General features: G+C 37.3%; 1 protein-coding gene across 7 annotated transcripts in view, besides 1 other annotated feature; it reads left to right on the top strand.

Annotated features, from left to right (window-relative positions):
- Positions 1 to 27503, top strand: part of MARCHF1 (membrane associated ring-CH-type finger 1) — an 859722-nt gene that overhangs the window by 751700 nt on the left and 80519 nt on the right. For 4 of the 7 annotated variants that reach the window (XM_017008336.2, XM_017008335.2, NM_001166373.2 and 1 more), the window contains one exon: positions 18927 to 19006. In XM_017008336.2, the coding sequence (XP_016863825.1) occupies positions 18927 to 19006 (80 nt within the window). Of the gene's footprint in view, positions 1 to 18785; positions 19007 to 19281; positions 20050 to 27503 lie in introns of those variants that run through there. The other 3 variants (XM_047415869.1, NM_001394959.1, NM_017923.4) reach the window with 2 other exon arrangements.
- Positions 20483 to 20532: an enhancer, noted in NCBI's record as "active region_22102". NCBI's record gives its function as "activates an Ori minimal core promoter by ATAC-STARR-seq in GM12878 lymphoblastoid cells {active_cell/tissue: GM12878}" and the evidence as "EXISTENCE:reporter gene assay evidence [ECO:0000049][PMID:35858748]".

Genomic DNA, 27503 nt, shown 5'->3' with positions numbered 1-27503 from the left:
ATGCAGAAATCACCCGTCTTCTGCGTCGCTCAGGCTGGGAGCTGTAGACCGGAGCTGTTCCTATTCGGCCATCTTGGCTCCTCCCCCTACATTTCAACATGAGATTTGGAGTGGACAAATATTCAAACCATATCATAGAGTAATTCTACCTATATTTTCCAGAGTAACTGCACCATACATTCCCACCAATAGTGCACAAGGGTTCCAATTTCTCCACATCCTCACCAAGACTTGTTATTTTCTGTTTTCTTTATAGTAGCCATCTTAATGGGTGTGAGATATCTCATTGTGGTTTTGATTTGCATTTCCCTCATTATTAGTGATGTTCAACATCTTTTCATGTGTTTTTTGGCCGTTGGTGTATCTTCTCTCAAGAAATGTCTATACAATCCTTTGGCCATTTGCAATAATTAACATGATTTGTAAATATTTTCTCTGTATGTAGGTTGGCTTTTCATCCTGTTGTGTCCTTTGATGCGCAGTTTTTGAAAATTTTGATGTAGGCTGATTTATCTCTTTACCTTTGCTGCCCATGCTTTTGGTATCATATGTAAGAAATCATTGCCAAATCCAATGTCATACAGTTTTTCCCTATGTTTTTCTTCTAGGAGTTTCTTAAATATATTCTTAATTAAACTTTATCTTGTATTGTTTGTATCTGTGTATTGTTTATATTTACGTAAGTTGTATATTCCCTGAAACTTATTCTTAGGCAAAATGCAGAAGAGGTATACAGATAGGTTTTCTAAATTATCTGACTATTTTTTGGCACTGTTCCTGAAATACTCAAACCAATAGACAATCTTGCCACATTATAAGAATGTCTTGGCCTGGCGCCATGGCTCATACCTGTAATGCCAGCACTTTGGGAGGCCGAGGGTGAAAGATCACCTGAAGTCAGGAATTCAAGACCAGCCTGGCCAACACGGTGAAAGCCCATCTCTACTAAAAATAAAGACGTTAGCTGAGTGTGGCAGCAGGCGCCTGTAATCCCAGCTACTCAGGAGGCTGAGGCAAGAGAATTGCTTGAATCTGTGAGGCAGAGGTTGCAGTGAGCCGAGATCACACCACTGCACTCCAGTCTAGAAGATAGAGACTCCATCTCAAAAAAAAAAAAGTTCTGCAACTTATTTTCTGTTACATATTTAAATCTTCATAAATATATTTTATTCTAGTTTAAGATATACCTAATATGCTTCATGTCTCAGAAAGTCCAGCTTTGAAAACCAACTTAGCAAAGTAGCTAAGTTAAATAATTTGATATTCTATGAAACTGGGAATCACTCCTGTAGTGCATACTGTTTCAAAACCACAGACACTTACATTCCTCTCCACAACATACAACATGTATGGACAAAAATATCATTTCTCTTTTTTCTCCCTTTCCTTCTCTCTTTTCTATTCTTTCATCTTCCTTCTTTTCCTTTTTCCTTGCATTTCTTCTGGCATTCTCTCAGCTTTTTTCTTTCCAACTTTTTCTGCACTACCAATTTTTTCCTTTTTTGTATTCATCTTTCTCTTCATTTCTCTCTTCTTTCCCTTTTTCTTTTGTTCTTCTAATTTTTAACATTTCCTTTATCATACTCTACAACAGACATTAATAATATCTCACCTTGAACATAGAAATATGCTTTGCTTCTATAGCTTCCGGTCTGTTTTTTCTCACCACAATCCATTTTGCACACTATAGCCAAATTAAACTTTATTCTTATCAAATTTATTTAGGAGAAATTTAAAGTACTTTAAGTAGAATGGATAGGACAATAGACCATTTCCCTTTAAATTGTTCAAGCCAATGAGTTTTGATTAAAACTCTGCTGCAATCAAGACGTAGAACATTTCTATCAACTCCCCAAAAATTCTCTGGAACCCTGTGAAATCTATCCATCTCTCTTTCCACCTCTGTCCTCAGCAACCGCTAATCTGCTTCATGTCACTCTGGATTGTTTGAATTTCATAAATAGAATGATGCTTGTATACTCTTGTAACTGGCTTCTTTCACTCAGCATAATTATTTTGAGATTCTTCTATTTTTTGCATATCTCAATAGTTTTTTCTTTTTATTGCTGAGGAGTATTTTATTGTGTGAATATACCACATTTTGTTTTATCAATTTACCTGTTGAAGATCTTGGTTATTTACAGTTTGGGCCTATTGTAAATAAACTGCCATCTATAAACATTCATGTATGAATCATGATGTGGGTAGACATATGACATAATTTTTCTTAGGTAAGTATATAAAAGAATGATTAGGTTATATGGTAGGTTTATTTAACTTTATATGAAACTGCGAAATTATTTCCTCCAACAATGTACAAAACTTTCAGTTGCTCTGCTTCCTTGCCAGTACTTGATATTGCCATGTTTTTAATTGTAGCTCTTCTAATGGTTATATACTGGTATGTCATTGTGGCTGTAATTTGCATTTCATTGATGATTAATGACTTGAGGCACTTTTTATATACTCATTAGAAATCCATTTTTTAATTATATTTTAAGTTCTGGGATGCATGTGCAGAACGTGCAGATTTGTTACATAGCTATACACGTGCCACGGTGGTTTCCTGCACTCATCAATCCTTCACCTACATTAGGTATTTCACCCAATGTTATCCCTCCCCTAGCCCCCTTAGATTCTGGATATTAGCCCTTTGTCAGATGGATAGATTGCAAAACTTTTCTCTCATTCTGTAGGTTGCCTGTTCACTCTGATGATAGTTTCTTTTGCTGTGCAGAGGCTCTTTTAGTTTAATTAGATCCCATTTGTCAATTTTCGCTTGTGTTACCATTGCTTTTGCTGTTTCACTCATGAAGTCTTTGCCCATACCTATGTCCTGAAAGGTATTGCCTCAGTTTTCTTCTAGGGTTTTTATGGTTTTAGGTCTTACATTTAAGTCTTTAATCCATCTTGAGTTAATTTTTGTATAAGGTGTAAAAAAGGGATCCGGTTTCAGCTTTCGGCATATAGCTAGCCAGTTTTCCCAATACCATTTATTACATAGGGACCCCTTTCCCCATTGCTTGTTTTTGTCAGGTTTGTCAAAGATCAGATGGTTGTAGATGTGTGGCGTTATTTCTGAGGCCTCTGTTCTGTTCCATTGGTCTATATATCTGTTTTGGTACCAGTACCATGCTGTTTTGGTTACTGTAGCCTTGCAGTATAGTTTGAAGTCAGGTAGCATGATGCCTCCAGCTTTGTTCTTTTGCTTAGGATTGTCTTAGGGTTGTCTATATGGGTTCTTTTTTGGTTCCATATGAAATTTAAAGTAGTTTTTTTCTAATTCTGTGAAGAAAGTCATTGGTAGTTTGATGGGGATAGCATTGAATCTATAAATTACTTTGGGCAGTATGGCCATTTTCACAATATTGATTCTTCCTACCCATGAGCATGGAATGTTTTTCCATTTGTTTGTGTCCTCTCTGATTTCCTTGAGCAGTGGTTTGTAGTTATCCTTGAAGAGGTCCTTCACATCCCTTGTAAGTTGTATTCCTAGGTATTTTTTTCTCTTCGTAGCAATTGTGAATGGGAGTTCACTCATGATTTGGCTCTCTCTGTTTGTCTGTTATTGATGTATAGGAATGCTTGTGATTTTTGCACATTGATTTTGTATCCTAAGACTTTGCTGAAGTTGCTTATCCACTTAAGGAGATTTTGGGCTGAGACAATAGGGTTTTCTAAATATAAAATCATATCATCTCCAAACAAAGACAATTTGACTTCCTCTCTTCCTGTTTGAATACCCTTTATTTCTTCCTCTTTCCTGATGGCCATGGCCAGAGCTTCTAATACTATGTTGAATAGGAGTGGTGAGAAAGGGCATCCTTGTCTTGTACCAGTTTTCAAAGAGAATGCTTCCAGCTTTTGCCCATTCAATATGATACTGGCTGTGGGTTTGTCATAAATAGCCCTTATTATTTTGAGATACGTTCCATCAATGCCTAGTTTATTGAGAGATTTTAGCATGTTGAATTTTACGGAAGGCCTTTTCTGCATCTATTGAGATAATCATGTGGTTTTTGTCGTTGGTTCTGTTTATGTGCTGGATTACATATATTTTTAAATGGCTACTCAAATCTTTAGAGCATTTTTATTAGGTTGTCTGTTTATTATTGAATTACAAGTGTGTAAGAGTTATTTCTATATTTTGAGTACAATGTTTTTATTTAATGTGCACTTTGCATTTTCTCTTTCATAGTATCTTTCAAACAACAATTTTTTTAATTTTTATATTGTCTAATTTATCAACAGTTTATTTTATCATTTGTGCTATTAGTGCCTCATCTAGAAAATCTTTTCTACTCCAAGATCACAAAGATTTTTCCTGTGTTTTCTTCTAGGAGTTTTTTAGTTTTAGCTTTTGTGTTTAGTTCTATGAATCATTTCAAGTAAATTTTTAACATCTGGTAAGGTAAGGGTTGAGATTCATTTTCTTGCATGTGGCTATGTGTTTATTCTAGCACCATCTTAAAAAAAAAACATATTCCTTTCCTCATTGAGTTATCTTGCAGCTTTGTAGTAAATTAATTGACCATAATTGTGTGGATCTATTTCTAGACACTCTATTCTCCCACTGCTGAGTTAGATTGTATTTTATGGTTTTAGTGCATTATAAATTAAATTTTTAGGGTTTTTTTTTCCTATAGACTACTCTTTTTAAAGAACATTTGTCATCATCTTTATCTCCAAGTCAGAACCCTTCACTGATTACATATCAAATAAGATTGAACGATACTTAACCTGACATCGAAGGCCCAACATTTTCTAAAATCTTTCTTTACCAATTTGTCACCCACATCCTTTGTTTCTGATAAAATTACTTACTCACTGCTCCAAATGTATACCCTAAACTAATACAAGGCAGAAAGAGGGTCAAGTGTGGGGTGCAAGAATAGGGTATATATGAGAATTAATAAGCAGTAAAGGGCTATGCTATCGAAGAAAGGTTTAGACATTAAGCAGATTCTGTGTGGCTTTGGAGATCAAACTAGGAGCAGTGGAAGAAACCACAAAGAAACTGACTTCAATAAAATACTAGGATGATAAAATACTGACTTCAGTAAAATACTAGGAGCACTCTAAAAATGCAAGAGATGTTCTCAGATGATAGTGAATTTCCTGTCATTGGCCTCAAGCAGAGGCCAAATGACCACTGTTGGAAATATTATAAATGAGATAATAGTATAATTATAAATGGGATAATAGTATCAGATGAGGGTTAGACCAGGTCATCTTTATAAACTTCCATCTAGTCCTGAGATTTCATAAGTACATTCTAAAAATTTATCTTTATTAGACATTAAATAAATTTTTCACAACCAAAAAGACTCTTTCAGATCATTTTTGGCCTATTTCTGTTCCCTAGAACTAGGTTTGGTTTGGTTTGGGTTTGTTTGGGATGGAGTCACATTCTGTCACCAAGATGAAGTGCGGTGGCATGATCTCGCTCACTGCAACCTCCACCTCCCAGGTTCAAGCAATTCCCCTGCCTCAGCCTCCCGAGTAGCTGAGACTACAGGAGCACACCACCATGCCAGGCTAATTTTTTGTATTTTAGTAGAGATGGGGTTTCACCATGTTGGCCAGGATGGTCTCGATGTCCTGACCTCATGATCCACCCGCCTCGGCCTCCCAAAATGCTGGGATTACAGGCATGAACCACAGTGCCCGGTCCCCTAGAACTAGTTTTAATATTTCATTTAATACCTAATTCTCAAACCTGTTACTCATGAACTATCACAGATATTAATGGGGCTTTAAAAAAAGAATCTTCTGCAGCAGTATTTCCCATCTGAAGTTCTAAAATCATTCTTTACAGAGTATAATTAATGTGTTACTAAATAAGAGAAACCATTTGTAAATGATTATGCACGATTATTCTTTTTCACACTCATAAATTATATATTGGGTTCTCCTAGTGGATTGGATCTAAACTGGTCAGGGCACCAGGAAGCAACCACTTTAGAATCTTTTGAAACCGTAATTAATTTTCAAAATGCCAAGGCCAATTGGCAATAGTTAACATTGCCCCTAGAGCACAATCATGGCCTAGATGCCACTAAGACAAGTTGCCTTGTGTTGTCTATAAATGGATTTTCAGAAAACCTAATTTGAAATTACTGCCTTTAATTATACTGCTGATATAAATAACTTTGATAAAATTAGTGCAGCTGGCCTCCTGTTTGTTTTTCCCATTTGAATGCACTGTACAATGTAATCATCTGAAATAAACATCCATTACAAAGAATGCTTCATTTCAAAGAACATATTATTCTGCTCATCCAGCCAATTGTTATTTTTCCCTTCCCAGCCCCATTTCAATCTTACACCTAATAAAGGGATGAACAAATTACCAAGCTCTCGTAATGTACCAACTAGCAAATTAAAACAATACATTGCTGCTGAATAGGGCCATGTGTTTAAAAGACATTAATTCATTTTATCCTCAATTACAGTGTTTTCTTTTTAAAAAGACCCTTCCAGCTTCAAAATTGTTAAAGGACATACTCTTCTCCACATAATAAAATTATGGTATTTCCTAAATAGAAATTCATACTTTACAAAGAAAGCAGAAGATACAACTTCCGTTTGATGTGTTTTTTGACTCTGAAGTCCAAAGAAAGAGCCTCATGACTTACATAAAACTTTGGACTGAGTTCATTCATTTTGTTACAGTGTAGAATTGCCACTTCCACAGAGGAGAATGGAGCCCTTTCTTTTTTGTTCGCTGTGATGCGATTGTCATCTCTATCTCTACTGCAATCAGCATAGGATTTACCCAGGTCAGTTCAACTTGGTTCAACTATTACCAAGTTCAGTTCAACTCAATTCTACTATTACCACACTCCATTCAACCGCACAACTCTTTATTAGCTACCTACTACACACAAGACACTAGGAAGATTTCCAAAATCAGTATGACTGTGGCCTTTTTTTCTCAAAGTGGTAGTGAAGCACAAAATAAGATTAACTATAAAACATTGTGGCAATTTGGAAATGGTTAGACAGTAATACAGGTGATAAAATAAATGCTAGAGCAAGATTAACACCATAGTAGAAGTTGAAAAGGGCCCATGCAGTTAAAGAAAAATGGGTGTACATAAAGCTAGGAACCATCACTGGACCTTGAGGGAAATTCCAAGAGTATGCTCTGTTTTGTCTATAGAGTAAAGGCATAAAAATAAAAGAATGGGTGTGTTTGGGAATATAAAATGAGCTAGGTTTTGCTGGAATCCTGGAATTAAAAAGAATTGCTGAAGTTAATACCAGAAAAGTAGATGGGTTCCAGAATATAGGGCTCTAAAATCCCAAACTGGTCTTTTGTATTTAATTTGTTAGATAACGAGAAACCACTGAAGCCTTTTGATAAAGGAAAGGAAATGACTGGGGTTGTAACTTCAGAGGATAAATCTCAAAGCTCTGAGATCTTGAGTACAGATAAAAAAGAAGAAAAGTTGAAGGCAATGAGAACTGTGAGAATAATATTTTCCTATTTCTCAACAATTAACTGCATTGAATTGAAAGAAAGGCCAAGTTCTGGAACTTGATCTGTTTGCAGTGAGACTGAGGTTGGACACTAGACCTACAACTAGGACACTCAGGTAATGGGGAATATATAAAGCTACAAGAGCACAGGAGATAGTCCAGGCCATTAGGTGTGATGGCAACAGTCAACCAATTTATATTCCAAATGTGCAGCTTATGCTGAGGACCTCATCTCTCCCTAATCCTCTAGTGGTCTGAGGATTAGTCTGAGTTTATGTGCTCACAGAAGCAGAACCTGGGACAAGAACTTTTACAAGTAGTTTATTTGGGACGTGTTTTCTAGGCAGCAGGAGTGAGAGAGAAAAGGCAGTGAGACAGTAAAGGAGGAGAAGTCAATAAAAGGTATAGTACAGCAGTCACTGATGTGGCAACAGGGCTTGACTGAGCAGAATCTAAGAAATGTAAAGAAGCTCTCCAAGAATTGACCGCTTGAAGGAATGGGTGTTGGCGCATTTATCCTCCAACGCCTGATCTCTCTTGGTTGAGGATTGCCTGGGAATAACACCTCTGCACTTGGGGCTACACTTGTGCACAGGGTTTCACGGAGCATTCTCGGTTGATAGTTGGCTCAGCTGAACTTGCCATTGTCTTTCACAGATGTTTCCAAGGCAGTTAACCAAAGCCTTGGAACAGTTAACAACTGCATAGCCTTACAATTACCATTGGCCCTTCCTATACATATTCTTGGGATACTGCATGCTTCCCCACCCACTTGCACCTCATCCAACCCAGTAATTGTGATGTTACGGTTCACGAGGTATTATCACCATCCCATTCACCAACAGCAAAGGTATGCCTGGTATGCCTGATCGTGAGTGATCTAGCTCCTAAATTCTGTCTTGTGGATCTGCTTTCTGGCACTATTTCTAGTATCAACTGCCTCTCTCTCCAGTTTGGGTTCTCCTCAAAGCACTGCTTGTGACAAGGATGTTGGTGCAGGTAGGGGATTTAGGAAGTCACCCCGGGATTATAAATGAATGGGTAGGGAAAATGAGACAAGAATGCAGAAAAAAAGTTAATTTAAGGATACATTTTGAAGACAGTAATGAAATTAGTAAGGAGTTTAGTAATTAGTTACTTCCATTGTAACTAATGAAGTTAGCTGATTCCAAAGGGACACCTGAGAAATATCCAAAGTATCTCTTAGAATTTTCCACCTGAAAGTCAATGAGATGGATCTCTTATCCACAAGCTCTCAGACCCCATTATTGAGAGTTGTCCCTAGAGGTGTTAACGCCGTCCCATTTAGGCTTGTGCAAGAAACGTGGATTCTCATAGAATCAGGAATAAAAAGTAGAAGGTAAGTGGCACTCATACAATGTAGGACATTTTCACCATAACATTAGTTGGCACTTATAAAGAACTGTTCACCAGTGCTACAGCTGATATGAGAAGTGGACTGAGAAGTCGTGACCCAGTGTACCAGAGACAACTGCCTGAATCTGTTTCTGTAGCTGCCAGAATGCCTACATTTTACTAGGAAGCCTGAGTACTATAATGGATCCTCACCTCCTTTGCATAATGGTCCCTAGTCATTACCCAGGGAGATGGTCCTTGCTCTCAGAACTAGCCTTATCATCTCCTGATCCTAGTGCTTCAGTCTGCGCTGCCAACAAAACTTCTCTTGGATCTTGTCTATATTACTAGGAATGCATGGCAATTTCTGTTGAAAAATGGGAGGTGACATGGGCTAGTACTTCAAACCAGATTTCCTGCCTTGCCCTCCCTGATGACAGTCATTATTCCAACTCTCTTTCCAACTGTATGTTTCAGTAGGAAATGTCTCCTGGCTGAGCTTGTCCTCTGCATACCAGTGTAGTGCCACTTGCTGGCTTTCTAGGGCCTCTCAAGACAGGCTAGATTCTGCATTACTAGTTGCATCTTTGCTATTTGACCTGCTGAAAGGGCCTAGCCTTGCTCTAAGCCACTCCCCTAATGTTGTGAATTGTCAAAGGAAGACTTACTTGGCTTTCCCTTTCTGAGAAGATGTTCAGTTCCTTCCAAATTCTGGTGTGCCAAAAGGAGCATTAGGCAACTTGCCATGCCACCCTCTTCCACGTTTAGCTGTCTGGCCTGAGTCTTCCTTTAAAATTATAAACTCGGCATCGAGATAACTTTCTCCTACAACTAAATATTTTAATCAGCCCACGGTGCAGATGTTTGCTACGTATAGTTACTTAGGAATCTTAGATGACCCTCAGTGGGTAGTGTGGTAAATTTTGCACAATATAAGGAAGGAAAGCATGTGATTTTCTCAAAGTGATCTCAGTCTTTTCTTATTGAGCTCCTATTACTGTAGATGTGGGAAATGAAATGTTTGATTTTTTTTTTTCAAAAGATCTGTTTCTACCAGTTTAGAAGCTAATCACATTCAGTTTTTTAGGGTTTCTTCCCATTCCCCTTCCATTTCCTGATATACTGGAGCAGGGACTTCTGTTTAGAGTTCTGCCCTCCAGGTTTTTCCCAGACCTGTTGCTACAGTGCTCCTGGCTGGTGGATCGGGGGCCAGTTCTCTTGTCACTGTCAAGCCAGGCCCTGGCCTTCCAACCCATTTCATCTGTCACTGACAATGCCAAGTGTCTCTGCTTGGTAGTGTTTTCTGTGGCTTTCTGTTATAAAGTCACATTAACTTTAACTCTGGTGACCCCTGGTTACTTCCCTGGGTAAGCAATCTCAGCTGCCTTTTACACAACCCAGAAAGGCAGAAGAAGATGTCTAGATTTTCTAACCCCACATCAGGCTGGGGGTGGGAGGGAACTATCTCAGGTCCATCTGCCTCAGTCACTCCTACCCTAAGACACCGGTGCCACATTAGGCACTGCCCATGCTGGCTGAGAAGCTGGCCTGAAAGGCACATAGTCCTCCCAGGAAGGGAAGAACAAGAGTCGTGCTCTTGGTTTTCCCCCAGAAATATCCTGGTGAGTCTTCCTCATACCCTTCTCTACCCCCACACCCTCTGCCCAAACCACATTCAACCCAGGGTGGATAAATGGAGAGTAAAGGCAGTGGAATTTCAGTCTTTGTTTTTCTCCTCCTGTCCTGCTCTTCAGCAGCAAGTAGTAGTAAGCAGAGACCCAGTGTTCCTGTATGCTGCAAATTTTTCTTCAGTCGTACCTTCTGTCTCCTTTCTCTATAGATTGTAGTAAAATTATGCCCAGAACTCCAAGATCTCTTATAGATATATAAAGCAAAAATTGGGAATTTAGAAAACACAGTTTTCTTTGTTTAAAAAAATCAAGCTTTCACAAATATTCTCTCACTGAAATCTCAGAAAAAAATCTAATACAAAATTCTAAGTAGGATAGGATCTCCTTTAACCTAAACCAGTGGTTTCTAACTCTGGATGGGCGTTACAGTCACTGGAGCAGCTTTTAAGGATACTGACATCCAGATGCTGTGCTACAGGTCCATTCCTCACAGATTCTAGAATCATCAACCTGGGCAAAGGTATTTTTTAAAAACTTCCCAGCAATTCTTATTTTTAGACAGGATTGAGAGTTACTGGTCTAAGACTGTTATGTGTCTTCCTTCTGAACAGGAGAATACCATTGAGTTCATGTGTGGGGAGAAAAAAATGACATACTGAGAATTAGTAAAAAGAATTATAGTATTTCAAGATCAGTGTCCTATTACAACTCTTAGACACTCTACAAAACAGTTATCAGATCAATGATTTCATGTTATTATCCTCACAATCCTTTTATGTGGATGTTATTATTGACTACATTTAATGAAAGGGGAAGTGGAGCTCTAAGACTTTAAATAAGCAAAGAGTTTATCACTTAAATAGTGGAGAACAAAACACAAATCTTGATTCTTGATGTTAGTAGTTGTCATTTATGACATCATCAACGTGACCAAAGAATTACTTTTCTCATTATTAAATTAGAGATTTTAAACATTACGAAATATACAGCCTGAGAAATAAAGGTTTCCAATGATCCCAACTCACAGGTATAATCACTGCTAATGGCTAGATGTGTACTTTTCCAGATTTTTTTCTGTGCATACACAAACAGATAGCAATAAAGCACTATTTACCCTAACAAGATGACACTGTATACAATTTTGAAACTTTATTTTTCTCCTAAAAATATATTCTATAAATGTGTGTGTGTGTGTGCGTGTCTCTCTCTCTCTCTCTCTCTCTCTCTCTCTCTCTCTCTCTGTGTGTGTGTGTGTGTGTGTGTGTGTGTGTGTGTGTGTGGTGTACCTCATTCTTTTTATGGCTTATGTATTTCATTGTAAATAATGAATTAACACTTGGGTTGTTTCCAACTTCTTGCTATTACAGATAATGCTGTAATGAACAATCTTGTAAATATATCTTTGGACAATTATAAAAATGTTTCAGCAAAATTAATTCCCATGAGTAGAATTTCCAACTTTAATGGTATACATTTTTTTATTTTAATAGAGTTTATCAAATTTCTCTCCAAATAAGTTGTACCAATTTACAGTTACTTCAACAATATATAGCAACGCGTGGCTTCCCCACCTCGGCTACACTGGGTATTATCAATCTCTTTAAAATGTGCTGATCTGATAAGTTAACGTGGATACCATTGTTAATTGAATTTACATTTATCTGCTTATTGAGATTGATCATCTTTTTACACAGGGCTTTTGGCCATGTATAATTCCCTTTCTGTGAACTACCTACCTGTTTTGCTCATTTTTCTGTAAAACTGATCAACTTTTCCTTCTTGATCCGTGAAAGATCTCCAAATACTAGAGAAATTAGCTATTTGGCTATCATATATGCAATAAAATGAGGCATTATTTATGAATTCTGGTTTTGTCCAGGATGGTTTTGGTATATGGGTGTATGTGTTTCCTTTTTATAAATTAGAAGTTTTTATTTTTTAGATCATCATATTTATCTGTTTTCCTATATCACATTTTGTTTTACATCATCATAAGAAAAGGATTTTTTCCACCTATTATAAACATTAATTAAACATAAATTATGTTTTTCTCATACTTTGATGGGTCTTTTTTTTTGCTGTATTTAAATCTTGCATTTGCCTAAACTTTACTGTAACCAGTAGACTCAGGTTTACATTCTTCCAAATGACCAGTCAACGCCATTTTTTTAATAACCTACCTTTTCCCACTAACTAGAGATGCAAATTTGTCTGTACCGAGAAACAGAAAGATACATATAGACAGATAGATTCCTAGCCTCTCAGTTCTATTCTAATGATGTGTCTTTCCCTGTGCCACGTGCATATTCTGTTAATTTCTAGAATTATACTACATTTAGATGTCTGGTAAAAGTATCCTCATTTCTGGATCCTACTGAGTTTTATTAAATAATTTTCCTGAATCTTTTCCCCTGTGTCACTTTTTCAGTTGATCTTTCAAATTATTTTTACCATATCTTAAAATAAAACAACCTGTTGGGATTTGATTGCTCAAACTATCCCTTTTCTCCATCCTCACTGCATCCTGGATATATGGAATCCTAACTCTGCTCTTTGCTTTCAGACAACCCTGAACCTTCCAATTCTCAGCTGCCAAAATGACCTTTCTAGTACCCAGATTTAATAAGTTCTATTTCCTGCTGAATACTTGCAATAACTTTTCATTCTTTTCAGGATGCAATCCAACACGTCAATGTAACATTCAAAACCTCCATCTACTTTTTCATCTTGACTATGTACCACTTCTCACCTCACTCAACATCTTTCTCCCAGTCATTACAAAACTTTCTGTAGATCCCATACCAAGACGTCTTCTCTCTACTCTGTGTTTTGACACATCCTTGTCCTTGCCTGGACTGCCATCCCCTACTTGAGTCACACTCACCTTGTGTTGGACAGGCGTCTCCTTCTCTGGGAAGCTGACATTAAACCCCTGTTCTACTCTACGTTAGATGTGCTTTCTTCATCAGAACCCCACTATTGGGCACTATCAGGATATACCAGACTGTATTAAAATTGCCAGTTCATCTAAATCTCTCCACTAAACAAGAAGCCCCTTTGGGCTGCCATCTGTTTCTTTATTTCCAGAGTATATCATATTATCTATCATGTAATAAACCTTTAATTTTTGTTTGCTGAGCAAATGAATCGACAGTGAAACAAGCTAGGATTCATTTTATTTTAACTGGGTTCCACAACAAGAGGCAGCTGGTTAACTAAATCCCAGTCTTAATTTTGATGCTATTTTAGCAGAGTGCAGATAGTTTGGCTAGGAAGTGATCCCATAAAGGACAGCAATACATGTGAAAAGTAAGACAGAGAAAAGGGAAATGTTAAGAAGCTATTGAGATAGGGGAAACTAGGCCTGCATCCAGCTTGAGACCTTTCAGAAACTCTGGAAGTTACCTCAGAACTTCCCAGAACCGCCCCTCTGAAGAGTGAAGAGGCTAGAACATCCATCCACTGACTCTAGTCCAAGAGTTGTCCTCGGGCGTATTAACTTATCACACTTCCAGGTTGTGCCTGTGTGCAGCCAAGCAAAAGCACATGGAACAATGAAAGACCTGGGGCAGAGAAACAGATAGGCACAGGCACTGACATGGGAAGCAGTCAGCATTCAGGTGAACTCAGAAGAGGGCCGAGGATTCAGGCACAGTATCTGCTATGGCAGCCCACCAGCAAGCGGAACATGTACAAATGAATATTTGATATGACCTATTTGAATATTCTTCGGCAACAAGGAATGTTTTCCATTCCCTTCAAAATACTTAAGGGCTGTAGACATAAATGCTATCTGATTCACTGTGATGGTGGACAGAAAAACTCTCCAAAGGAAAGCTGTGTGTTTTAAATATTCTGTGTTACTATTCAGTGATCCATCATTTTCCCATTGTAAAACATACATTTGTTCAGACCTGTGGAATTATGACATTTGTTTTATTATGATCATGTCTATTTTGACATCTTTGTCTGTATAGCTTCATAGCCATAGGTATCCATTATGATGCTCATCATCACGTGGTTCACATACATAATAACATCATCAGTGATTTGAGGACACTTGGGCTGCATTAATTTTTTTCAAAGAGGGCAAGTAGCAGACTTCACAGGTGACCTTTACTCAGTGCCTGCTATATAGAGAGTTCTTTATTAGATTCTATGGCCATACATAGAATAAAGAATGTATAATTTAACAACATTATATACTGCTTAGAGAACAGATATTCTTATGTTTTAAAAAAGTAGCTATTTATCTGTTCAAAAGATGAAAATAAGAAGTTGATCTTAAAAAAACTTGAATGAAGTGAGGTTTTAAAAATTCTTATTTTTACTTAATGTGTAATAATTTACATTATTAGGGATACCAAGTGATATTTCAATATTTGTATACAATTTGTAGTGATCAAATCGGGTAATTACCAACCCATCACCTCAAACATTTATTATTTTTCTGTGGGGAACATCCAACATCTCTTCTAGCTTTTTGAAAATATACAGTAAACTATTGTTAGCTATATTCACTTTATGGTGTTATAAACCACTAAAATGTCTTCCTCTTACTTGGCTGTAATTTTGTATCTGTTAACTAACTTTTCCCTATCCTTGCCAGTCTCCAATGACCACAATTCTAATTTCTACTCCCATGAGCCCAATTTTTAAATTCCCACAAATGAGTGAGAAATGCAATACTTACCTCTGCGCTTATTTTACTTAACCTGCTGTCTCCCAGGCTCATCTATGTTGCTGCAAATGACATGATTTTGTTCGTTTTTATGAGTAAATAAAATTGTATTATGCATATATATCACATTTTCTGTATCCATTCATCTGCTGATGACCATTTAGATTGAGTCTATATCTATTGTGAATAATGCTACAATAATCATGGGGGTTCACATATCTCTTTGACGAACTGGTTTCCTTTTATTTGAATAAATACCCAGTATAGTGGGATTGCTGGATCATATGGTAGTAATATTTTTAGATTTTAGAGAAATTTCCCTACTGTTTTCCATAATGTCTGTACTAAATTACATTCCAACAATAGTATATATGAGTTTCAATTTCTTTTCATCCTCACACATTCTGGTGAATTTTATTTTGTTACTTTTGTGTGTGTGTGTGTGTGTTTTCAGAGACAGGGGTCTCACTATGTTGCCCAGGCTAGCTTCAAACACCTGGGCTCAAGGAAGCCTCCAGCACATCCTCCCAAGTAGCTCGGACTACAGGCATGCACCGCCATGCCCATTTGCTATATTTTTGATAATAGACATCCTAAGGAGAGTGAGATAACATCTCACTGTGGCTTTGATTTACAGTTCTCTAATTATAGTGATATTGAGCACTTTTTCATATATGTATTGGCCATTTGTCTGTCTTATTTTGAGAAATGTCTATTCAAATCATTTTCCCATTTTACAATCAGATTATTCTTATTACTGCTGTTAAGCTGTTTGGGTTCCTTGTATATTCTATATATTAGTTCCTCATTGGATGTATGGTTTGCAAATATTTTCTCCCATGCTACAGACTGTCTCTTCACTACGTTGATTGTTTTCTTTGTTGTGCAGAGGAAACAATCCTTTGCACAAGCAAGGAGAAAGCTTTGCTTTTTAGTTTGATGTAGTCTCATTTGTCTATTTTGTTTTTTGTTGTCTGTGCTTTTGAAGTCGTACCCACAAAAACTTTTCTAAAAGATCAATGTCCTGAAGCGATTTCTCCATGTTTTTCCTAATAGTCTTTTAGTTTTGGGTCTATATTTAAGTCTTTAATTCATTTTGAGTTGATTTTTATATATAGTGAAAGATAGAAGTCTAGTTTCATTCTTCTTCATATGGATATCCAGTTTACTAAGCATCATTAAGATGTCCTTTTTCCAATGTAAGTTCTTGGCATCTTTGTTGAAAATCAGTTGGCTATAAATACATGGATAATTTCTGAATTCCCTGTTGTGTTCCATGGGTCTATGTGTCTGTTTTTATAACAATGCCATGCTCTTTTGATTACTATGAATTTGTAGCACATTTTGAAGTCAAGTAGTGTGATGCTTCTAGCTTAGTTCTTTTTGCTCAACATTGCTTTGGTTATTTGGGCTCTTTTGTGGTTCTATGTGAATTTTGGGATTGTTTTTTCTATTTCTTCAAATAATTTGCTTGATATTTTGGTAGGGTTTGCACTGAAACTGTAGATTGCTTTGGACAGTATGGTCATTTCAACAATATTAATTCTTCCATTCCATCAGCACAGAATCTTTTCATTTTTTTTTATTCCTCTTCAATTTCTTTCATTACTGTTTTGTACTTTCCATTGTAGAGAGCTTTCACCTTCTTAGTTAAATTTATTCCTAAGTGGGGTTTTTTTGGTCATCATTATAAATGGGATTTCTCTTTTGATTTCTTTCTCATCTACTTTGTTTCACTGGGGTTTGGAAACACTATTGATTTTTGTATGTTGATGTGTATCCTGCAAATTTACTGCATCTGTTTATCAGTTCCAGGAGTTTTTTGGTGGTGTCTTTAGGTCTCTTAACAAATGGTTTCCTCTACCTTAAATATTTTTAAGCTTTTAAAATAATTCCTATTTGCCTTTTAAGATTAGCTGGATCGTTACCTCCTTATTAATTTCCTATAACTACTATCATAGGGATCACCCCACCTCCTGGGACCTAACCTGCTGCAACATGGCACCATTTTGAGAGCAGAGCCACCACCAGAATACATCACGTCCTGGGATCCAGTAGTCTCTGCATCTGCATTTCCCTGGGGCTTTGTCGTCTTATAGTTCTAGAGGTCAGAAGCCAAATAGAGATCCCACTGGGCTAAAATCAACATGTTAATAGGGCTGAATTCCTTCTGGAAACTCTAGAACTCATTTTCTAGCCTTTTTAAGCTTCCCCATGCCACCTTCCTCAGGGTTTCCCTTTTTTCACCTTGAAAGCCATCAGTGTAGTATCTTCCTCCTTTCTTACCTCTATTCATATTCTTCATCTTCTCTCTCTGACTAACTCTACTGCCTCCCTCTCATAAGGATCCTAATGGTTACATTGGGTTTACCAGTATAATTTGCATAAATCTCCTCAACTCAAGATGGTTAACTTAATCACATCTGCAAAGTCCCTTTTACCATAAAAGGTAAAATATTCACTATCCAAAGATTAGGATGTTGAGATATTTGGGGGGACCATTATTTAGCCTACTATACCTTCTCTTCAAATATGACCTGATCTCTTGAGTTAGAATTTGTTCCTTTTTCTCTGGATTTCAGAATCATGATTACATAGTTCCAATATGAGAATTTTTAGAATGACTTCGAAATTTGGGGTAATCTTTTTACCTTTACTGTTATTTTCTTGGTGACGAAATTGTGCATTTCATCTCTGCAGTCAAACAGGCCTGAATCTGGACCCAGATCTCCACCCATAGTGGAGCCAGATACCTGGTCCAGATCTCAGCGTTACCACCTATCAGTGAGAAGCAGCCCCAATTTTTCAGTTTCCTCAGCTGTAACATGTATGTAATTATAGTATTTACTACAAAGATTTATTGTGAGCATTAATGAATATATGGAAATGGCTTAGAACACTGATAAGCACATATTATTCACTCAAAACTGTTAGTTATTATTACTTTCCACTTGTGAGATTATTGTAGAATTAAAGAGACAGTAAATAAAGCTACAGCACAATGCCTGGAACATAGAAAATTATCCCTACATTCTAGTTTTTTATTTATCATCATAACCTATATTAAATACAACAGGTTAAAGTCAAATAGAGTGAAGAAAATACTGTTTCAAAGGTAGGACTTTAGTGAAATGCACTCAACTTTATGCTAATAATCTGATGTTTCAGGCTTTCTTATTTTCAGACTTAGTATGGTTATAGGGTTAAAAGATATGAAAGGCCAATAGTGTTGCAAGGGATATATTTTATTAGTTTCATTAATGAAATTTTAATAGCAATAAATTCAGGCTTTTAAATATTACAAAGTATTTTCAAATATCTCATGGGGCCTTGATGTTAGCTTCAGGAAGTATCTAGCAACCTAATGGCTGTTTGATTAGACTTCTCAGACTATTATTATCCTTGTCACATAATAGTGCTTTAGTCCATGTATCATAGGATCTTCAAGTATTATTCATTTGTTTCCAAAGCAAATTGAGCTATTCCACTCAAATGATTACAGTAAATAGAATAGAAACTTGTGGAATCATCTTCCTCTCTCGTAAATGAAGTAACAGCAAAATAGCGCAGCATCTCAGCTGTTCCAGGTTCCTCAAATAAGTTTTACTTTTGCAAAACCAACCTCAAACTTCCTATATTCTCTGTTCTGCATTATAAGCAACATGACCAGCAGCCACGTTTGTTGTAATTTTTTAAATATGTGGAAAAAAAGCAAGATATCAACCATGTATTACCTTAACCAAGATGCCAAATTATCTAACTTGTTTCTCCAGGCAAGCAGCCCAACAACAGGGACAGCTCCCAGGAGCCAGTCAAGGTTGTCTGTCTGTCCATCCACTCAGGACATCTGCAGGTAAGTGCTGAACAAATTATCTTAATCTATATTCTTTGGATCAATATTCGTATTCTTGTTGTTTGTTCTGAGAATGTGTGTCTCTTGCTTCTGCTTTACATGGTCCATAGAAAATTTATACTGGCTATTTTTTTTCATTTAGTTCATTTTCTTCAGTTGATCTTTATTTATCTACTTCTGGTCCATGCTGTCATTTTCATCATTCTCTCTCTCTGTTTTTCCATGGCTTTCCTCTCCATTCCCATTTCCCATCCTTTGCCTGCTGCTCTGTCTAGATCTGCCATCTTGCATGACATGTCAGAAGAGTCATTTGAGTATTGCACCCCTGTCATGGTGCTGAGCCCTGCTAGGAAGGAGTCTGGTAAGAAATCAGTAATACAAAGACCTAGGAGGAGGAGAAAAGCCTCTGAGAGATATGAGCATGCTGCAGAAGAACAAATAAGAGGGAGAAAAAATGACTTTCACCTTCAAATCTCAAGCCCCAGGTGGAGGGAGCTTTACACAGATTCTTCAGATTCATCTTCCACAGATGAGAGTCATTGGATTCAGGCAAAAAGAAGAGCCCAGGTTAAATTCAGACTGTCAAGAAGAAGGAGGAGAAATAATAATAAGCCGTGTGAAAACTTAGCTGGGTCTTCCACTCCTAACGGAATTGAGCTCGTTGATCTGGGATCCAAAGGTAAAGAGCAACAAGAGCTGATTGAATGTGAGAGTTGCTCTTTAAATCTCCACAGAGGAAAACATACAAGGTACCAAGAATGCAACCCTTCTCTGACTCAAGGGTCCTCTGAAATTAAGAGATCCTCAAGGAATCATGAGAAGAGCAAAGGCAGATATCACCACAGAGATCCTCAGCTCTTGCAAAGTCTTAGGAAAAATGAAATAATGAAGAAGACATTTTCAGAAACAGATTCCAGCACTGAAATACTGGGAGTTCCAGAAGGCAGCAAGGACATGAATGATGCAGGGCTCCAGGTGAATAACCCTGTTCAGAAGCCTCCTGCCACCTATGACGATGGGTCTGATAATTTAGAAGTATGCAGGTCAGTCACTGTAGAGAAAGGCTTGATGTCATCCATATATAGTTCTTTTTGCAGTGAGTTAGGTGCGTGTTTGACACCTACCCTCAAAACTTAACATTTATTTACATTGTTCTTTTTCTGATTGGATATAAAAGGAGAAAAGGTGGGTATGAAAAGAATAATGCAGATGTAAACATGGGTGTGAAAGCTGTTACCAAGTACAATTAGATATCCCCTTCCTTTAAACTGAATAATGATTTATCCTGGTAAAGGGGCTGACTCAGCTGAGTCTTGCACTCATTCTAGTTATGACAGTAATAGTGGGGGAATTAAGAGTGAGACTGTGTGAAATGTTAGACTTTTCAATGCAAATTTGCTGGCATCCTGACAGAAAGATATTCAAGGCTTGAGTTCTTTAAGGTCAGATTTTTGTATCAGAAAATAACATTCTCTGCAGTTGGCTTTAATTTGTTCTCCAATTGTTTGACTCAGCAGGGTAATTGAAGACTCAAAGGACACAGAAACAGGTCAGGGACGTATCAGTGGGGTTGCAAGAGCCTGTAGGGAAGGGGGCCACATTAACTTTACTGATAAACATATACCGAAAGGTTTCAACATGTGGATATTTTCTAGCTATGTGGCAGCGTTCTTGCTCTTTTTAACTCAACAGCATATATTTTCAAAATAACCTTACATAAAAAGAATTATAGGAATATCCAAGCTAGTGTGCATAAATGAGACAATTTCAAACAAAAAAATATATTTGTACATTTTCATATTATACCTAATCATTTAAGCTGTTTAGATTCTGTATGAGAGCAAATGAAGATTTTCACTGCGCAATACTTGTTATGTTTTGCTTTGCTTTTATAAAAGCAGAAGTTACTTCATAAAATATGTATGCATGTTCGTGTGAATTACGTGACCCAGAGAAGGCTGCTCATGTCCATTGAGGGCAGCAGTGAGAAGAATTAAACTCTACATGTGAATAATATAAGAATGGTTTGTTTATCTGAAAGTTTTATAGGATAGTCATTCATAAAATCCTCATTCATATATGTATTCAAGCATCTATTATGCATTAAGCTTTATTCTAGACATTGAAAATAATATAGTGAGTAAGATTTGTATAGTTTCTAACATCTTACAGCTTATAATTTAATATGGAACAGAGACCCAAAACAAATTAATTTACAGCTGATATATAATTATAATTATGATAAGAACTATGAAAGCACATGGCAAGGAAGCTTCACCTATTGTGGGAGATGAGACAAAAACTCTCTAAGTAAGTGACAAGCAGGCTAAGGCTCAAAGGATGACAGGAATTGATCAGGAAAGAAGCAGGGAAGACCATCTAGGCAGAGGCTGCCACTAGCAGGAAACAAGAGGAGGGACGGAGCTTGGCAATTCAGGGAACGTAAAGCTTGCCATTGCAGCTAGGTTGTGGTGAATAGGGGGATGGGTGGTAGAGAGAAGGATGGAGAAGTGGAGAGGGCTCGACTGTACAGGGCCATGTGAAACATGCTAAAGGACTTAAAAGGGATTTACAAAGAAACTGTCACCGTGTAATTTACCTATAAATGTAAATTTCTTATAATCTTTTAATTATGATCTATATGTATGTTTGCTGAAAAGTTAGGGGATGGACTAAACCACTCTTTCTAGTCTGAATGGAGAATTTCCCACTTGCAACCATCTGTTGTCATTCCCTAAATCTAGCTTCCAACATAATCTAATGAAAGACAGTCAAAGAAGCTAGTTGTAGGCTAAATGGTAATTGGAGAGAAAAATAATGCTTGCAATTAAAGTCGTAGTGACTGGTTCTCCTTACTTAAAAACCCTACTCTGGAGAAACATTTTCAAAGACAGGATATTTAATTTAGACTTCTATTAATGAAAGTGAGATAGATGAGCCAATAGGTATTATTTCCTGCTAGAGATTACCATCAAAATATACCAACTAAGCAAATGCTACAGGCAGCATGTTATACTCGATGCTGAGGATAAAAAGTAGCAAAAGACCTGATTCTTCCCTTAAGTGGCTTATGATCTAAGTGGCAGAGATTGAACACATACTCGAAAAAAAGCATATAAGATAGTACAGGAAGAATGTAAGAAAAGGAATACTGCAGGATTTGAAGAAAGATTTGCTGAGATCTGGGATGATCTAGAAAACCCCTAAAGAAGAAGAGGTACTGGGGCTGAGAAAAATAGAATTTACGTTAGAACTCAAGGCGGGGGAAATGCCATTAGCACAACAGGGATGGGACACTGGCACTTGCATTTATGAATTTTACATGAACTTATATGACTAGGTTGGAAAGTTTGCATACATTGATAAAAAATAACTCTTTAAAATAAGACATTTTGAAGAAAACTTACATATTCAGAGTTGTTTATGCTGTAAATCCATGTTTTCAAACTCCCTCAATGGATCTCTTGAGTTCCAAAGAGGCTGCCTCTAAAGTTGAGGCAGGTCAAGGGGATTGTGCTTCCCTCAGCCCATTTTCAGCCAGAATACCTTCATGATTATGTCTCTTACATAGTGGGGTTCTACATAATATTCCTTTAAGAATAAAAAAGGTTCCAGGGCAAAAAAATATATATATATGTGTGTGTATATAAATATATACGTGTATTATATATATACGTATATATATATATACACACACACACACACAGAAAGACCTTTTCTAAATAAAATAGGCTTAATGAAGTCACATACACAGTGTAGTCACCAGTGTCTCTGATAAAGGAACCTAGATTTAGGAGATGGAACTATCCTGTGGGTTGAGTAGAGTACTAGGACAATAATGGATAAGGAAAGGGAAGAACAAATGGCAAATTAGCCTTCCACCAAGTGAATGAGGACAATCTCAGAGTTTGGATTTGGTGAGAGCCTAAGACAGAGGAGTCAAGAATGACTCCAAATCTTGGAACTTGGGACAACAGTAAATGTTGATGTTAATGAACAGAGGCAGAAGACAGAGGCAAGTTGATTTAGGAAAGACATAGTGAGTTCAATTACAGGCAAGCTATTTGTGGTTACAATGACATTCCAGGGTCAGCTGTCCAGCAGACAATATGAGACATATTATTGAACTGCAGAAGAGCAGTCACAGTTGGGCGTGTATAGTTTTTCAATAATTAGTGAACTATACATAGCCTGACACTAAACAACGGCATGTGTGCATTTTTTAACACAATGTATTAGCACAAGGTACTAAAGATATTAAACACTGAAAATCTATTCAAGGTCAGGAAGGACATAGAGATTTTGGAATTATTCTCAAGGAGGTAGCAGTGATGCCTGGAAAGTGAATTAAATCACTACAAAAGATCTTGTGTAGGAGAAAAGATATATATGATCTCTAGAAATGGATACAGCCTGAGAACCAGGGTCTTCTATGTAGGCAAAACAATGACCCCTGAGAGAAGCAGCAATTGCCTGTGAACTTGCCCTCTCAGACATGCATAGAAGGAGCAGTCTCAGCCACAACCACAAAAAAGAAAGAAGCTCCTAAGCCTTCTTCCTTTTCTGTTCCTGGCTTCTGGTCCCCACATGCACACTCTATTCTGTTTGCCTCCTTCATCACAGCCTTTTTCAGAGAAAGTATCTCTACCAGCCTATTATACCTTAGAGGGAATTTAACTCATCATACTATTATACCCACAGTTATTTCCACAGTGCAGTGGAAAAGTATTTGCTTTTTTGAAAAAGGAATTGCATTTAATTAAAAGGCAAACAAACATGAATCAGATCATGTTAGCCCATGATTGAAACTTTTTCATGGCCTGTAAATCGCCCTCACTGGAAGGTGCAAAATCTTTAATATTTACAAGTCCCTGTTGATCGCTCTATCAGATCTGCCTCTCTAGCTCCACCACCCATCATTAACTATGACCTTTTCATGCTGGTCTGTTTCCAATTCCCTGAAAGTGTTCAGACCTACCCCTTTCAAGACCTAGAATGGCTTTACCTTACCTCCTTGGATCTTCTCCAGACGACTTCCTATTCTTTCTCAGTTTAAATGCCATTTCTTTAGGAACAGCTTCCTAACCTCCTAACCAACACTCAGGTCCCCTGGCAGTCACTTCCATAGCATAACTTTTAATTGCTAAAATATAGGCATTATTATGATTAACTGTGTCAAATTTGTTCACTGCAAAATCCAAAGTACCTGGAACAATGCCTGGCAGATAGAACATTCTCAACACATAGTTTTTGAATGATAGCTTTAGTGAAAATGTACTTTTCTAAGGGAATAATTCTTAGGATGCAAAATCATAGCACTGTATGTTGGACTGCCTCACCTGCTGTAGAGCCAACATGGAAAGAATACTCTACACCAGCAGTTCTAAAACTTTAGTGAGCATCAGTGACAACTGGAGGGCTTGTTAAAATGCAGATTCCTGGACCCACCCTTAGAGTTTCTGATGCCCTTGCTCTGGGGTTAGGCTCATTAACTTGTATTTTTAAAATGTTCCCAGGTGATTCTGAAGCTTCTGATGCAGGAATCACATTTTGAGAAACACTATTCTATGCTACAAATCGTTCCCATGCTTTAGATAGGAAGAGAAAGGAGAGAAAAGAATCTAAAGAATGTATTTGAAAAGCCAAATGTCTATAGTTTTTTATCATATTCCCTTGAATGCTGACACAAAGCATGACTAGGTTACATTCCTGTACTTCACATTGTTAGACCAATATAGCATGGGTTGTGTCACCAAAACCATAGACTGGCAAAGTCCCACCTCTACCAGGAACTCAAATGTCATGGTTTGGTTATTGCTTCCCTTCAAATCCACTTCCTCATTTCAACTACTTCCATTTCTATCAGTGAGTCCACTAATTTCCTGGATTTTCCATTTTTGATCTTATTCCTTCCATATTGGATGTGTCCAGTCTCCAACAAAGTACTGACATTTCTTTCTCCAGATACTAGTTTCTGATCTGTGCTTTTTTTCTCAATCCCAGTGTTCCATTCTAGTCCTTCTCTACACTTTCCATCTCCACCACATCCACTTTTTAGCCCACTACCTGTTTTGTTAAGTACTTTTCTAATGGGATAAAATCAACAGAAATCAATTCAAATGAGCTTAAACAAGAAAGGGGTATGTTAACCACACGAACAGTAAAACAAAGTATACAGATGGCTTCAGGAACTCCAGAAACAATGTGGTTCTCTCACTCTCTCTCTCCTTCTCTGTGAGGAGTCATTTCCTCCAACTGCAGACAAACTTCCTATATATAGAAGAGGGAAGAGATAGTCTGGCCAGAGGTAGCTTCGGGCTTACATTTTAGCAGCAGCAGCCTAACAGAAAAGAGAAATGTTCTTTTCAAGCACTTATACATGAAATCCCAGGGAAGGCATATAATTAGCCTGCCCTAGGTCACATACCCATCTTTGAGTCAATCACTGTCACCAGGATCATAGGGTATTGTGGTTGGACTAAGTCCTTGAATGGGAAGACTGGATTTAAAATGTAGCCATCGGCAACCCCTCCAAATCTTATGAATTGGGAAAAGGAAATTTCAACAGCAAAAAGAACTGCAGTAGTACCAGAAGAAGTGAAACAAGAATTCTGAGCAAGAAAAATAAATGAAACAATACAGTAATGCTCAACTACACCACCACCAAATGTAGTTCTTCCCCTCTTAAATGTCTCACTCCTCGTCTCCAAATGCTCATATTTAGGCATGCTTCAATATGCACTTCATTTTTATCCTCCTTTATAAAGGAGGATAAAAGGTTTTCTAAGCTAGTCTGGTCCACAGTTATCTTTTCTCTCTTGGAAATCTCATAATTCTTCTAGTCAGTATCATATATTCTCTACTTTCATGTGTGTTAGCTCTCTTTTCCCTACAGAATAAGTTCCTTGAACATAGGAGTCCTGCCTTACATCTGTTTTGTGCCCTCCACAATACTCAGAACAATTCAGGCAGTGCTCAAACAGACCTTTTGGGACAGCTTCCGAATCAGTGCATGCTAAGAGAGTAGACTTGCAGAAAACATGGAGACAATAATGGGAATTCGGTGTTACAGGGTAAAACAAGTAAAGAACATTGAATTCCACTAATGGTTTCTTTAAAAGAGGAAGAGCCCAAAGACAAGTGATAACTCCTGGTAATGCTCTAGCTCCAGCTTAGGTTGGATGGTGAGTTTGAGGATATACTTTGTACCATTATGCTATAGGTTTCATATATGTTATGCATATTCTCATTTTTTTAAATTATACTTCAAGTTCTGGGATGCATGTGCAGAACGTGCAGGTTTGTTACATAGGTATAAACGTGCCATGGTGGTTTGCTGCACCCATCAACCTATCATCTACATTAGGTATTTCTCCTAATGCCATCCCTCCCCTAGCCCCCCAACCCGCAACAGGCCCCAGTGTGTGATGTTCCCCTCCCTGTGTCCATGTGTTCTAATTGTTCAACTCCCACTTATGAGTGAGAACATGTGGCATTTGGTTTTCTGTTCCTGTGTTAGTTTGCTGAGAATGATGGTTTCCAGCTTCATCCATGTCCCTGCTAAGGACGTGAACTCATCCTTTTTTATGGCTGCATAATATTTCATGGTGTATATGTGCCACATTTTCCTTATCCAGTCTCTCATTGATGGACATTTGGGTTGGTTCCAAGTCTTTGCTATTGTGAACAGTGCTGCAATAAACATACATGTGCATGTGTCTTGATAGTAGAATGATTTATAATCCTTTGGGTATATACCCAGTAATGGGATTGCTGGGTCAGATGGTATTTCTGGTTCTAAATCCTTGAGGAATCTCCACACTGTCTTCCACAATGGTTAAACTAATTTACACTCCCACCAACAGTGTAAAAGCGTTCCTATTTCTCCACATCCTCTCCAGCATCTGTTGTTTCCTGAATTGTTAATGATCGCCATTCTAACTGGTGTGAGATGGTATCTCATTGTGGTTTTGATTTGCATTTCTCTAATGACCAGTGATTATGAGCTTTTTTTCATATGTTTGTTGGCTGCATAAATGTCTTCTTTTGAGAAGTGTCTGTTTATATCCTTTGCCCACTTTTTGATGGGATTGTTTTTTCTTGTAAATTTGCTTAAGTTCTTTGTAGATTCTGGATATTAGCTCATTTTTTAATTAAGAAATTGTGCCTAAAGCGAACCCTTCTAGCTCTGTCATCATATCTGTGTATTCATTTATTTATACATTTATATAGAAAATAACTATTTATTTTTGAATTTGTTCTGTGCCAAGACAATGTCTTAGAAGCTGGAAATAGACAGTAATGGTGTCATCTTTTATGAACTTATATTTCAGTTGCTAAGACAAGTAATTAAACAGGCATAAAAAAAATCTGTGAATGAAGCTAAAGGAACAACTTGCATCTAGTAGAGCATTTCCCTGAGGAAGTAATAACTAGGGAGAAATCCAAATGAGAAGTAAGAGTAAGCCAAGCAAAGAGAAGGGGTAACCTGTTCCAG

Source organism: Homo sapiens, chromosome 4 (assembly GCF_000001405.40).
Source record: "Homo sapiens chromosome 4, GRCh38.p14 Primary Assembly".
Taxonomy (NCBI): domain Eukaryota; kingdom Metazoa; phylum Chordata; class Mammalia; order Primates; family Hominidae; genus Homo; species Homo sapiens.
Note: the sequence above shows the minus strand (reverse complement) of the source record. Positions and strands in the feature narration are given on the sequence as shown.